Raw genomic sequence first — 14,720 nt, forward strand, 5'->3', positions numbered from 1 at the left:
CCTGAAATTTTAAAACTTTTTTTTTGTTTGTTTTGTTTTTGAGACAGAGTCTAGCTTTGTCGTTCAGGCTGCAGTGCGATGGTATGATCTCAGCTCACTGCAACCTCCACCTCCCAGGCTCAAAAAATTCTTCTGCCTCAGCCTCCCAGGTAGCTGGGATTACAGGTGCCTGCCACCATGACCGGCTAATTTTTGTATTTTTAGTAAAGATGGGGTTTCATCGTGTTGACCTGGCTGGTCTTGAACTCCCGACCTCAAGTGATGTGCCTGCCTCAGCCTCCCAAAGTGCTGGGATTACAGGCGTGAGCCACCGCACCCAGCCTTAAAACACTTTTCAAATTTATCTTTGCTTTTGTAATATTATTTAATCCTCAGGCTAAAGTTATAAAGAAGATAAGGCAAATATTCTCATCCTAATTTTAAAGTAAAAGAAACTGGATATAGAAAGGAAGGTTGAGTTGTTTATTGTGGTTCACTGGGAGAACAGGGACTAACTTCCACATCACCCTGCTCCCATTATAATGTTATTTCTACTGGGATAAATAGTGAGAAGTATTAATAAATAAAAGACCAGTCTTTAATAAGGAGGCTGGAAAATAGTCTATATCTCAGCCCTTTGGGAAGCCAAGGTAGGAGGATTGCTTGAGCCCAGGATTTCAAGATCAGCCTGGGCAACACAGTGACACCCTTCTGTACAAAAAAAAATTTTTTTTAATTAGCTGGGTGTGGTGGTGCGTTTCTGTAGCCCCAGATACTCAGGAGTCTGAGGTGGGAGGATCACCTCAGCCCAGGAGGGCAAGGCCGCAGTGAGCCATGATCATGCCACTGCACTCCAGCCTGAGCAACAGAGCAAGACCCCATTTGAAAGAAAGAAAGAAAAGAAAGAAAGAAAGAAAGAAAGAAAGAAAGAAAGAAAGAAAGAAAGAAAGAAAGAAAGAAAAGAAAAGCTACTCAGGAGACTGAGGTGGGAGGATCACCTCAGCCCAGGAGGGCAAGGCCGCAGTGAGCCATGATCATGCCACTGCACTCCAGCCTGAGCAACAGAGCAATACCCCATTTGAAAGAAAGAAAAAGAAAGAATGAAAGAAAGAAGAAAAGAAAGAAAGAGAAAGAAAGAAAGAAAGAAAGAAAGAAAGAAAGAAAGAAAGAAAGAAAGAAAGGAAGAAAGAGAGGGAAAGGGGAGGGGGGGAAGGAGAGGGGATAGAGAAAGAAGGAAGGCAGGAAGGGAGGAAGGAAGGAATGATGGAAGGGGGAAAGGGAGGGAGGGAAGGAAAGAAGGAGGAAAAAGAAAGAGAAAGAAAGAGAGAGAAAGAGAAAAAAAGAGAAAGAAAAAGAAAGAGAGAAAGAAAAAAGGACTCTGTATCATAATTAGCTGGGTGTGGTGGTGCACGTCTGTAGCCCCAGCTACTCAGGAGACTGAGGCGGGAGGATCACCTGAGCCCAGCAGGTCAAGGCCACAGTGAGCCATGATCATGCCACTGCACTCCAGCCTGGGCAACAGAGCAAGACCTCATTTGAAAGAAAGAAAAGAAAGGCAGGAAGGAAGGAAGGAAGAAGGAAGGAAGGAAGGAAGGAAGGAAGAAGGAAGGAAGGAAGGAAGGAAGGGAAAGAAAGAAAGAAAGAGAAAGAGGGGGGAGGAAGGGAAGGAGGGAGGGAGAGAGAGAGAAGGAAGGGAGGAAGGAAGGGAGGGAGGAGGGAAGGGAGGGAGGGAGGGAGAAAGGAAATGGTTTGGCACAAGGAATAGAAAACTACTCGCACCAGCTTAAGAAACAGACAGCAGACAAGCACCAGGATATACAAGCAAAAAAAGGCCAATGGGTCTGGAATTGGAAAGACAGGAATCATCTCTCATGTGGTTTCTGTCCCCCATCAGCCTTGTACCTCTCGTTGGAGACTGGCTTCCTTTCTCTGCTTACTTGTGTCTTTTCTGCCATTAATCAAGCATTACATAACTTTGTGGTTTGGCTTCCAAGGCTAACTGACTGTTTCTCAGTGACCCTTTTCCAAATTCCTGGGGGAAGCAGGAAGATTGAGCTTGGCCTAGGTCCTCCATCACCTTTGCAGGTCAGGGGAGGGATGTGTACAGGTTCACAGTCACTCAGGGCCACCATTTTACTAGAGGCTGTAGGTCATGGTAGAAGTGTAGGAAAAGAGGTACATGCACAATGACTATGATAAAATATAGGATCACCAGTTATCAGTATTGCCATATAATTAAAAACCAAAAAGAGGACGGTATACCTTAATTGATTATAATAAGATGCCATGTTCAATTCAAGGGTATTGTTTATTATAGTTCAGGGTCTTATTTTGGGCACTTGAACCAAAAGATCGTAAAGGATTTAGGAATAAATCAGATGAGAGTTACAAACTTTATTTTGATTAGAGATGAATAAATTTTAATGAAGATAAATGGAAGCATTAACTCTATAGATTAAAAATAGTTTTAAAAAATAGATACAAAATTAAAAAGATACAAAAGGGCACACATTGAAAACTTAGTCTCCCTCTTACCCATACCCCAGCCCTCAGTTCCCCTTATCGGAGGTAATCATCATTGTCAATTCTGGTGTATTCTTCTAGAAATGTGCTCTCTGTATTTAAACACAAAGTTCCATATCTTGCTTTTTCCAGTATGCCATAGAAATCATTCCATGTGGGTCATTTAGAGCAACCTCATTTTTAAAATGGCTGCACAGCATTCCAGTGTATGGGTGTAATGTAATTTTTTGAACAGTCTCCTACTGATGACATTTAGTATATTTAGTCTTTTACTATTACTATCTTTGCGTATACCTCTTTCTAAACACAAGTGACTTTATCTGTAGGATAAAATTCCTGGAAATGGAATTTGTAACATTTTTAATTTTGAGAGAAATTGCCAAACTGTCCTCAGGAGAAATTTTACCAATTTCTTTCCCATTAGCAATTTATAAAGCACTGATTTGCCTACATTCTTAGCTCAGTGTAGAGTTAAAATATGGTTAGGTCTAGAGTTTTTTTGTTTGTTTGTTTTTTAGAGACAAGGTCTCACTCTGTGGCCCAGGCTGGAATGCAGTGGTATGGTCATAGCTCACCGCAGCCTCAACCTCCCAGGCTCACGTGATCCTCTCACTTTGGTCTCCCAAGTGGCTGGGACCACTAGCACACATGACCACACCTGGCTACTCTTTGTATTTTTTTGTAGAGACAGCTTCTCACTTTGTTGCCCACGCTGGTCTCGAACTCCTGGGCTCAAGCAGTCCTCCTACCTAGGCCTCCCAAAGTGCTGGGATTAGAGGCTTTGAGCCACCACGCCTGGGCTAGAGTCTTTTACTCTCTGGGAAACTTCAATTTACCTTCCAACTTCCTGTTAATATCTTTATGTTAGCTATTATATTTGTAATTTGTAAGAGCCTTTTTCTGTTCTTGATTGTAACTTTTTCATAGCATCATAGCCTTATTTGAATGCAATGTTAATGAACGCAATGTTGTATCTTTCCACAGATATTAATTAAACTTAAAAAAAATTCTCCCTGTTCCTGCCATTTGTTTTCTGGAGGGGACAGGTATGTTGGGGGCTGGTGAGGGGGTGGGTGTTGGTTGGGACTGGGAGATGCTCTCTGCCTATCATGTTAGAGACTTTCCTAAAATGTTTGGTGGTGCTGCACTGCTTGCTCATAATTAAGAGTCAGATACCTCTCCTCAATCTCTCCGGTTTAAATCTCCACAGAGCAAAAGTGCATTCTCCCTTTAGGGTGGGGGTGGCGTGGTAGCTTGAGGTAGGACAGAGGCTGCAACTGTTCTTTTTACAGACTTTTATCCAATCTTGTTTTTAGAGGCATTTCTCATCCCCATTTTCCTTAGTATCTGGTGTCTCCAATTCCTAAAATTTCCAAAGTTCTGCGGTGCAAATCAGCTGGCTTATTTTTGCCTTTCACCTCTACAGGCAGTTGATTTCATTTTTCTCTGCTTAGCTAACTCAATTACTATTTGTCTTTTTCACTATCTTCCAAAATTTATCATTTGTTAGCATCTCTTCCATTCTTTTTGTTCTTTGTTATAATTTTAGGGAAATTTGGGGAGGTAGCACAGATAAACATGTATATTCAATTTACCAAGTATAGAAGGTGGTCAGTAAATTTGGCTTTATCTGCCAGAAGCACTGCCTCTGTTGTGGGTATATTTCAAAATTAATAACATTGATAGGAACAAAAGTATAAGTAAGTCTTCGTGAGTATTTATATTTAGATGTAACTCAGCCCTAAAGCCCATTCATTAGTTTTGAAGTGATTTTATTTTAGGTTCAATGTGTATGCTGTTAACATTTATAGTGTAATACATATCAGTACATTCCTACCAATTTTTTGAAAAATGACTAACATATCCGGCTGTTTTCATTTTTGAAGTCATGTTTTCTAACTAGAGTCGTAGTTTGAAAGTCAATTTGTAACTAATTTTATTACCACTTATACTTTCTCAAGTCTGACAATCTTAATTAATAACTACTCTGTTATAGTGCCTTTTAGTGACAAATACAATTGCCAGCACTCAACAATGAATATCAAGCCTGTATATGTTGGTTTATATCATAATTAAGAAAGTCTCTCTTGCTGAGTGGTCTCAATTAAATGTAGTAAAAATTATATAAAATGTACTGGTTGATCTAACATAAGTACTTTAAAATGCTTATGTTACTAATTTCCAGAAGGAGTAAGAATCTTTCTTTCTGGAATGTGAAACCACAGATAGAATTGCATCTCTCCAGGAAAGTAGACTCAGTGGTTATGCAGTAAGCCTTTCCCATCTGTAATGTGATAACCAACTTTATTACTGTGCTATTATGGTAGAAAATTATCTCCTGAAACATATATTTTTAATACACTTGGGTGGACAAAATGAGGAATTGAACCTAATGCCATTTTTTTTTCCAATTTAACTTTCCCATTATTCTAAAAGTGTTAAGATTTTGAAACTAGTTTTACTCTGCGGAGCTCTTGAATAAGTTTCTATAACAGGACTAAATAATAGAAAATACTAAACCTGTATTAGACGTGTACCGAGTAGCACATGTTGGATTGCTGATTGATAGCACAAAGCATATTATATTCAATAAGTATCTTTCAAGCCTCATTGACATCTGTGACATTGTGTTGTTAACTGACAAATACATGGGAAACGCAGTTTTATAGGGAGGCAATAGAGCATGGAGACTATGAATCGGTCTGCTTGGATCTGATAACTCACTTTGCCATTTCCTAGCAGCATGACCTTGGACAAGTCATTTAACCTTGTCCCACTACCAAAATGTAGCAAAAATATCTACCTTTCAAGATTGTTGTGAGAACTAAATAAGGTGACATAGGTGAGGCATTTAATGCATTGTCTGTCTATTATAAATGCTCAGCAAAAATGAATCCAGGGAAAAAATCAGGGATCGTGCTCTCCAGGAATTTACAGTCTGTTGGGGGATATGAGAAGTTCACACTTTGACAAAACTGTAAGGCATTATATAATAAATTGCCAAAGTGAGACAGGATGCCAATGAAAACCTCAACAGGAATTTGGAGAAGGGAGACGTCAGTGTGAAATAGACATATCAATCAGCACATCCTCTAGGAAGGAGTAGAGGTGGGTCTTAAGTCAGATCCTAAAGAAACTGTTAGAACAGACAGAGAGAAAGGGTAGGGAAAAGGTGTACTGCAATGAAATGATAGGAGTAGGGGAGTATTTGGTGATCAGAGAATAAGTGTTTGCTTATTGAATACATAAAAGAATGGTTTGGCTAGTGTGTAGAGTGGTGATGAAGTGAATTAGTAGGGGAGACTGGGGCAATGGTAGTCCCTAGATATCACCTTACTAAATCAAAAAGCAACAGCTAGGGATTTTTGAATTGGGAAGTGAGGAGGATGAAGAAGACATGTGACACAATGAAGATAGTGGTGTAGGAAAAGGTGTGTGAAAAGAAGGGGGTGGGGAGTAGCTAAATCTAAGAGATCAGTTAGAATTACCTTTCTACATATGTGGTTGGGGCTAATAATTGCAATAAAATTTTTTACAAGAGTCAGGACTAAATGGATACATGACGAAGGAGAGAAAAAGAGTTAAAGGTCATTTTAAAGCCTGAGAGAGAAAAGAAATAATGGAAACAGTGATGTTGCAGGGGATGTTGATTAAGGAATTAAATATTTTCAGTTTAAAAAGAAAGCAACACCTTTGTTGTTTTTATAGAAGGTATACATGCTTCTAGCAAAAAAACCCTCCAACAACAACAAACAATGGAAATATATAAGTAGAAAATGAAAGTTCTCTTCTCCGTCCCCCAATTCTATTATCTTGTGATAATCTGTTGTATAGCTTTCTAGGCTGATTTCTATGTACATAAAAGGAAATGAAATCATAGTATGCATATTTCTCTTCAACTTTTTTTTCCAATATTGGTTCATATAGAGCTATCTTTTCATTGTAAAAACATACTGTGATTTTGTATTTACTGACTCACCTATTGATGGACATATATTATTCTAATTTTTGCTATTACAATGCTTAATGAACAGTCTTGTATATCTCTTTGAACAGCATCACAGTATTTTTTTTAAGACAAATACCTATGTGTGAAATTGCTGGATCAAAGTCTATGTACATTTATGTTTTTCATTGACTTTGGCAAATTGTACATGAAAGAGATATGCTTATTTACACACCCAGGGTATGAAAGAGTCTGTGGGCCACATCCTTGCTAGAACAAAATATTACAAATCTTATTAATTGGGCAAGCTATTAGGCAAAACAAATCTTGTTTTAATGTGCATTTCTTTGATTATTGGTAAGGTTGAATAGATTTTCTTAGCCGTTACAATTTTTTCTTCTATTTGTTTTTCAGTTTGAACCTACAGAGGTTGAACTGATGATGAAATGTCCTAATGTAGACATCATGGGGGCAATGAGAGATGTGCTACAGAAGCCTGGGTAAGAATTACTAGTGGAGCAGTGATAGTTCAAAGAGTAAGGCCGCATATGGGTTCCTTGTATAATCATAGAAAGAAGACAATACAAAGCTATTAGGAAACTCAGAGTCAGGAAGGAGAGAAGAGAGACAGTGATAGAAACTGGCAGTAGCAGCTTAGCAGTTGTAGAGATAGAAGTAGAATCAAGATTGTCCTCTGTCATAACTGGTTAAGGGACTTTGAGCAAGTCTCTTGAATCTCTGAGTCTCAGTTCCCTCATTTATAAAATGAAAAGGTGAATAAGATGCCTCTTCAATTATAAGACATCTTGTCTCTAATTTTAACCTGAAAGGTGAGACAATTTCATGGAGGCAGTCAACAACTTCAGAAAGCATAAGGGATCTTGCAGTAAGGTGGTTATTTAAAATTACTCTGATGTTATAGTCTATGAATTGCTTACTTCTGCTGCTCTTGCTTCTTTAAAATTGTAACCTTAAATAAACCGTTCTATTTTGAACTAATTTCAAAATTATAGAAAGACTGCAAATAATATCTACTCTTTACCCAGAGTCGCCTATTATTAACATTTTACCTTTTTATCATTTCTGTTTTCTCTCTCACTATATATGTGTGTGTGTGTGTGTGTTTTTTCAGAACCATACCTATGTCCTGGCCCTTTATTCTGAAATACTTTAGTATATATTGTCTAAGAATAGAGACATAACCACAGCACAGTTACCAATTTCAGTGACTTTAACATTGATGAAATATTTTTATCTGATCAATCTACCATCAGTTTTCCAATTAACTGAATAATGTCCAATATAGCATTTTTTTCCTCCTCCAGGAAAGAATCTAGTCTAGTATCTCATATTACATTTAGTTGTCATGGCTCTTCAGCTGGAATATTTTCACAGCCTTTGTCTTTTATGACAGTGACATCTTTGAAGGATACAGCACCCCTTACCTCTTTTAAAAAACAAAACAAAACGTTGCTCACTTGGAATTTGTCTGGTATTTCCTCATTAGATTCCTCATTTCCTCATTATATGCTATGTCTTCGGGGAATCACATCTGGAGGCAAATGATGTCCGTCTGTCCCTCAATTGTGATGTTAATTTTGATCACCTGGTGAGGGTTTTGTCCAATTTATCCAGTGTATAATTACTCATTTCCTTGCAACTAATAAGAAGTCTATGGAAAAATACTCTAAGATCATGCAAATATCTTGTTCCTCATCAACATTTCTTCCTATGTTTAGATATAAGATGGTTTTTGCCTTACCCAATCTTTGCCCTAACTGGTTGCAAAATGATGATTTTCTAACTTCAACAATCTCTCAACACTCTACCATAAGCAAGAGTATTTCCTTTTTCTCCATTTGTTTTATCAATTAATTATTGGTATGCCTTTATGAATTCCTGTTTTTTTAAAAAATTTCTAACCTATTTTAACATGCAGGATATATAAAAAGAAAACTATAGAGATGAACACTCAACCAAAATCCTTTCCTATCATTAAATATAAAGAATAATGCTTAAAAATATTATAAAGGAAGTAGAATACAATAATAATTCACTTATCTGGAAAAAAAGTTGCCTGGTAAATGTAATGATCCAAAATATAGAGGAAAATATCAAAGCAAGTGAAAGGTCTTTACACTAAGTAAATGCCCCCAAAATATCAGAGTTGTTTTAGCCTTTTCTTATTTTATATGCTTATTTATTTATTTATTTATTTATTTATTTATTTTGAGACAGAGTTTTGCTCTTGTTGCCCAGGCTAGAGTGCAGTGGCAAGATTTCAGCTCACTGCAACCTCCGCCTCTAGGGTTCAACTGATTCTCCCGCATCAGCCTCCCGAGTAGTTGGGATTACAGGCACCCATCACCTTGCCCAGCTAATTTTTTGTATTTTTAGTAAAGACAGGGTTTCATCATGTTAGCCAGGCTGGTCTCGAACTCCTGACCTCAGGTGATCTGCCCACCTTGGCCTCCCAAAGTGCTGGGATTACAGGCGTAAGCCACCGTGCCCAGCCTTATATGCATTTTTAAACATTGGTTAGTTTCCCCAGCCCACTCTAACATGATAAGACAATTCAAGGGGAGGTGTATGTGTGTGAAATGTGTGTGCAGAGCTAACCTGTAGCAGCAGGGGCAGCAACAAGAAGGCACAGCAGAAAGATCAATTATGAGGGCCACCAAATCCATTAGACTCAGAAGAGTGCAGGAACATAGAAGGCTGTGATTACTTAGTGTATGGTGAAGAGTACTAAGTACAGTACTTGTTGGCTCCTGAGGATATCTTGGTACTATAGCTTTTGTTTTTTAACTTTACCTGTTCCTGAGGTACCTCTAGGCTATCAGAAATAGGTTCAGCTATATAGTTGGCCTTCCATGTCAATGGGTTCCACATCCATAGATGGAAAATATTAGGGAAAAAAATTAAAAATAACAATGCAACAATAAAAAATGATATAAATTTAAAAATATGGTTTAAGAACTATTTACATAGCATTTACATTGTATCAGAGATTATAAGTAATCTAAAGATGATTTGAAATATAGGGGAGGATGTGCATAGGTGATGTGCAAATACTCTGCCATTTTATTTATTTATTTTTTTGAGACGGAGTCTCGCTCTGTTGCCAGGCTGGAGTGCAGTGGTGCGATCTCAGCTCACTGCAACCTCTGCCTCCTGGGTTCAAGCGATTCTCCTGTCTCAGCCTCCCCAGTAGCTGGGACTACAGGTGCCCGCCACCACGCCCAGCTAATTTTTGTATTTTTAGTAGAGATGGAGTTTCACCATGTTGGCCAGGATGGTCTTGATCTCTTGACCTCGTGATCCACCCACCTCGGCCTCCCAAAGTGCTGGGATTACATGCGTGACCTACTCTGCCATTTTATATCAGGGACTTGAACATCCACAGATTTGGGTATCCCGGAAGTTCCTGTGGATACCAAGACAACTGTGCTGTGTTTTATTAGTTTAAGACGGAGTTGGTGATATTTCAGGAAAAATAAATAAAAGTGGTTTAAATTGTTTCTAGTACTTCAAGATGAAAATCTCAGTTATTTAGAATATCTAATTATATCTAATCCTTTACTGCCCCCTTTCCTAATACTGTCAGATAAACAAGTCATTACTAAAACTATTTTTTTTTTTTTTTATGAGACGGAGTCTTGCTCTGTCGCCTAGGCTGGAGTGCAGTGGCATGATCTTGGCTCACTGCAAGCTCCGCCTTACAGGTTCAAGCGATTCTCCTGCCTCAGCCTCCTGAGTAACTGGGACTACAGGCGCCCCCCCACCACGCCCAGTTAATTTTTTAATTTTTTTGGTATTTTTAGTAGAGACAGGGTTTCACCGTGTTACCCAGGATGGTCTCGATCTCCTGACCTCGTGATCCGCCAGCCTTGGCCTACCAAAGTGCTGGGATTACAGGCCTGAGCCACTGTGCCGGCCCTACTAAAACTATCTTTAAAATTAATATTGAAAAGCATTAGTGTATGCAAACATTTATATACTTTCCGGCCTTTTGAAGAATTAGTCTAGGAAAACATTAACCATCATTAAGCAAATAAATCCCTGCTGCTTAACACCCTACATAGAGTTGCCCCTTTGAGATGCAGCTTAACTGTAAATGTAACTGTAAAATTAATATGGTGCTCAGATTTGAACGGACTGTTGATTATCTTTGTTTTGGTATCTGAAGACTTGTGACATATCTCTGTCGATTGGGAATTACGGCAGGCTCTCCTTGTACCATAGTGTCAGTTTTCTGGAGAATGTCTGTCTAGCCCTTGGAAGTTCCCTTATGCGTCCTTTCCCTCAAGGTGAATTTTGGGAATGCTAACTTTGCCTTTATTTTAAATTGTGACATCGTAAACACAACCAACAAATTTCTTCAAAATGTCCAGCCACTATATACATTTGAAAAAAGAGATGAAAGGTTAGAGAAATAACAAAGGTATATGTTATTACTGAAATTCTTTTGGTTGTAATAGAATTAAGTATTACTGAAAAAATAAGCTTTCTTACCATGCCAGTTTGATTTTGTTTTGACAGCTGTAATGAATTGTGTTGCTTGTTGATTGGTTTACTGCAGTGGTGGTCTCTTTGAACTGTTTGTTCTATATCTAAATTAGTTCCTTGGCTTGCCCCTTGGAAATAATTTGGATGGATAGTAATAAAACTATTACATAATGGTGATTCCTCTGAAATGACTTTTAAGCATATTGAATTCTTATCGATTTCTATTTCATATAATGGCATTTCTATTTTATACATTAGTACTTTTTGTTATACTAAGACTTTGCATATTTCTTGTATTTTGGCAAAAGCAATTGGAATCCATAAAGCAACATACAGAATTTAATTGTGATAAAAGTGCTCTGGTAAAGAAAATTTGGTATAAAAAGCCACTGCTTTCATTTATCAAGGAATGGGAAGGGACACTTATTTTATAAAAGATATTGAGGACAAACTTTTTTCTCTATTTTTATATACAAATTCTTTTTTTCTTTTGAGATAGTATCTCCCTCTGTCGCCCAGGCTGGAGTGCAGTGGTGCGATCTTGGCTCACTGCAACCACTGCCTCCTGGGTTCAAGTGATTCCCCAGCCTCAGCCTCCTGAGTAGCTGGAATTACAGGTGCCCACAACCACGCCCGGCTAATTTTTTTGTATTTTTAGTAGCGACCAGCTTCACCATGTTGGTCAGGCTGGTCTTGCACTCCTGACCTCAGGTGATCTGCCTGCCTCAGCCTCCCAAAGTGTTGGGATTACAAGTGTGAGCCACCACGCCCGGCCTATATACAAATTCTTAATCTTACCAAGTTCACAAATTTGAACTTAACACAACTCTTAAGGTTAATAAAAGTATTGTTTTATAAGTTATCAATGTGAGAAACAGATTTGGGGTAATTATTCAAACTCAAATTCAGTAGGCATAAGAATTTAGTGTATCCATGGCCTTGCTCATGAGTCATATGTTTTTTTCTTTTCAAAGTCCAAGTGAAAACTTCACTGCTTTTACAATAAGCTGTGAAAATTATTGGCAGATGTAGGGACCCTGCCTCATTTATATCTATGAAACCCTAATTCAAGTTTCAAGTAATTGTATGACATTTAACAACATAAGAGTTCCGTTCCTCAGTTTTCATATTTCTTAAGAGCAGTTAATTATGTGTGATAATGGTATGTATGTTGCATGTATTATTGTTGGCATATAGCCAACGACATTTTCCTTAATCTCTTAGTAACACTTTAAGAAGACTAAACATTTACCCAACTCAATAACTGGAAGGGGTTTTTCCTCCAAGTGCTAATTCATTTAGTTGTTGTTTATTTGGGACTTGAAGCAACTAACATCTATGCGAAAACTTTCTGTATACATAATGCACTTCCCTCCTTTTTACCAATCATCTTCCTTTTTCTTTTCTTTTTTGGACTCTTGTCATTTGAAATATTGGGTGGGGGGGAACGCTTTTTTTCTTCTTTTGATTGCTCTACTTCTTCTAGTGATTTCGTCATGATTCAAGACTTTCTTTGAAAGTAAAATGGAATAAAAATGAAACACTACGAACTTTGTTGCCTATCCTCGCTGTTTTTCTTTTTGACTTAACTTTGCGTTGGGGTGCTTTAAAGTAACCCTATTTGAGAGAAGGAGGTTGAAGGGCATTCTAGCGTCCCCAACTAGAGTAAAAGGGCTATGACAGAAGGCAATCAAAGGAGGAAATAATTAGCAATCTTCAACGTTCAAGATTAATCAGTTCTGTTTAGCGGTTATTAAAGGGAAGAAAGAAACCAAATGGGAATAGTGAATTATTGGTCCTTTCATGTTTTACACTTAATGCTGGTACATAGTATTCTTTCCACATTCTACTGCACATTGCCTAGAGAAAGAACTGCAGATCATCAAATAATTATCCATTTCCAAATGGTCTAATGACAGCAGATACAAAGGCGGCTCACTTAAAACCTTCCGTTAACAGTCACACTGCATCAAATGGTGCTAGCTTTAAGTAGGCCACCCATTTAGTAGACTCTGAAACAACACCTTTCCGCCCAATTTCTGTCATTTGCTCCTTAAGTCAAGGGTAGTACCCTGCGTAACATCTTACAAAGGCCTACTTCTAACACTTCCCGAATCTTAATGTGTGAGGATGTTGATCACCATAATTTATGACCTTATCTAAGACAGTGGGGTGACTCTCCACATTGGGAGCCCCCTCATTTGTCCTCAGTGACTTCTAAAAACACCGCTGGCGTGGGCTGGATATTTGATCTTGGGGCCAAGTGCTTCCAGACTTTGTTCTCTGGCCTTAAAGGTGAAGAGCCCGGCGCTGAAGGCCACAGACATCACGGCGGATTTCACAGAGGGCCGCGTTCCGGGAGCGGGTGGCCAGGCGGTGGCGGACGCCCCACCTGTCCATCCTCCTACCCCTTCCCCCCCCCGTTGTTTGGCCGGTGGGAGCCCCTCCTTTCAGCAGGCGCCGGGCGGTGGGGTTGCGGATGGCTGCGCGCGCTGCGGGCACCGATCACCGGCGGCAGTTGGGCTCCGCGGGGCCGAAAAGCTGCGGGCGGGAAGCGCGAGGTTAAGACCCTGACGGCTGCAGCTCTCAGAGCCCCCGCGAGCGCGCTCCGTTGGTGCGCGCGCGCGCGCGGCTCCGCCCCGCCCGCTTGGCGCGCGCCCCCGCCAGGTCCGCTCTCGTCCCCCACCCCTGGCGCGGACGGGGTGGTTCCAGCTCACTCTCCTCCCCCGAGCGGCAGCGGCGGCGGCGGCGGCGGCTGCTGCGGGCGCTGAATGAGAGACGGTGACTGTTCGGGTCGACGAGTGCTACTCTAGGCGGCGGCGGCCGTGGCGGTGAAGCGTGAGGCCGGCATCGTCTTTCCGTCCTCTGAGGCGACGGCCGCGGCTGCACAGGTCGGTGGGCTCAGGCCGCGGGGCGGTGCGGGGGAGGGAGGGAGGGAGGGTGGGTACGCGGCGCCCCCCGGGCGGCGCGGGGAATGGCGGCGGCGGCGCTGCGGAGTGTGGCTCTCCCGGCCGCGGGCCCCGGGGCTGCTCGCCCTGCGCGCAGGGAGGGGGCTGCGGAGCTGGGGCTGAGGCTGAGGGAGAAGGGCGCTGGGCGGCGCGCCTCCCTCGGCCGCGGGTTCTCAGAGTCGGAGCGGCCGTGGGGTCCCCGCTCGGGGGCGCCGTCCTGAAGCCGGGGGCGCTGCGACCCCTTGAACCCGCCTCGCTCTCCCTCTTGGGTGGCGGAAGCCCCCAGCCTCCGCCCGCTCTGTTCTGGCGCCCAGCGGCGCCTCAGTCTTCCTTCAGGTGAGCCCGATCCCGGACCTCGGAGCCAGGACCAGCAGAAGCCGGGCCACACCCCCTCCCCTGGCCCTGGCGGCTGCGCCCAGAAGCCTGGCCGCAGAGTTGGCCGCCCGCGAACCCGCGGAGTCGCGGTCAGGGTGACCTGTTGCAGAGCGGCCCGCAGCCCGAGCGGCCCCCGCCAGCCCCGGCCCCGGAGGGGCTGCGTCCTGTGCTGGCCTCGGGCCGGGCGCGCGGGCCGGGTGTGGGGCAGGGGCCGCAGCCCCAGGTCGGCTTGCTCTACGGCCTGGAACCGGGCTCTAGAAAAAAAAGGAGATTCCGAACGTATCTCATCAAACACTTGCAAAGCCGGGAGATCTGTCTGCAAATATCCGGAATTCCATTGCAGTATCGGATTAGGTAGGCTCATAAACACCGTGCTTTTGAGGTGATTTGGAAGAAACGCGAGCCACGAGCGAGGAACTAGTTTCTGGAAAATAGCCGTA

General features: G+C 41.6%; 1 protein-coding gene and 1 long non-coding RNA gene across 9 annotated transcripts in view, besides 7 other annotated features; one reads left to right on the forward strand and one right to left on the reverse strand.

The window, feature by feature from the left end:
- Window positions 1-11,437: 11,437 nt before the first annotated feature.
- Window positions 11,438-14,713, reverse strand: RALGPS2-AS1 (RALGPS2 antisense RNA 1). Its single transcript, NR_187252.1, has one exon. It is a non-coding gene; the product is annotated as an RALGPS2 antisense RNA 1 (long non-coding RNA).
- Window positions 13,447-13,601: a silencer, noted in NCBI's record as "fragment chr1:178694153-178694307 (GRCh37/hg19 assembly coordinates)". NCBI's record gives its function as "represses an EF-1alpha promoter that drives an FKBP-Casp9 reporter gene in an ReSE screen in K562 erythroleukemia cells {active_cell/tissue: K562}" and the evidence as "EXISTENCE:reporter gene assay evidence [ECO:0000049][PMID:32094911]".
- Window positions 13,447-13,672: a biological region, named in NCBI's record as "ReSE screen-validated silencer GRCh37_chr1:178694153-178694307".
- Window positions 13,503-13,672: a silencer, noted in NCBI's record as "silent region_1579". NCBI's record gives its function as "represses an Ori minimal core promoter by ATAC-STARR-seq in GM12878 lymphoblastoid cells {active_cell/tissue: GM12878}" and the evidence as "EXISTENCE:reporter gene assay evidence [ECO:0000049][PMID:35858748]".
- The window catches only part of RALGPS2 (Ral GEF with PH domain and SH3 binding motif 2), a 196,597-nt gene continuing 195,549 nt past the window's right edge, over window positions 13,673-14,720 (forward strand). For 6 of the 8 annotated variants that reach the window (NR_174383.1, NR_174384.1, NM_152663.5 and 3 more), the window contains exon 1: window positions 13,673-13,848. The gene's annotated coding sequence lies outside the window, so the exon portion shown is untranslated. Of the gene's footprint in view, window positions 14,635-14,720 lie in introns of all 8 variants that reach the window. The other 2 variants (XM_047423755.1, XM_006711410.4) reach the window with 2 other exon arrangements.
- Window positions 13,933-14,052: a silencer, noted in NCBI's record as "silent region_1580". NCBI's record gives its function as "represses an Ori minimal core promoter by ATAC-STARR-seq in GM12878 lymphoblastoid cells {active_cell/tissue: GM12878}" and the evidence as "EXISTENCE:reporter gene assay evidence [ECO:0000049][PMID:35858748]".
- Window positions 13,933-14,612: a biological region, named in NCBI's record as "H3K27ac hESC enhancer GRCh37_chr1:178694729-178695318".
- Window positions 14,023-14,612: an enhancer, noted in NCBI's record as "H3K27ac hESC enhancer chr1:178694729-178695318 (GRCh37/hg19 assembly coordinates)". NCBI's record gives its function as "activates a minimal SCP1, AML or CMV promoter by ChIP-STARR-seq in primed H9 embryonic stem cells {active_cell/tissue: H9 hESC(primed)}" and the evidence as "EXISTENCE:reporter gene assay evidence [ECO:0000049][PMID:30033119]".
- Window positions 14,253-14,482: a silencer, noted in NCBI's record as "silent region_1581". NCBI's record gives its function as "represses an Ori minimal core promoter by ATAC-STARR-seq in GM12878 lymphoblastoid cells {active_cell/tissue: GM12878}" and the evidence as "EXISTENCE:reporter gene assay evidence [ECO:0000049][PMID:35858748]".

This window comes from Homo sapiens, chromosome 1 (assembly GCF_000001405.40).
Source record: "Homo sapiens chromosome 1, GRCh38.p14 Primary Assembly".
Classification (NCBI taxonomy): domain Eukaryota; kingdom Metazoa; phylum Chordata; class Mammalia; order Primates; family Hominidae; genus Homo; species Homo sapiens.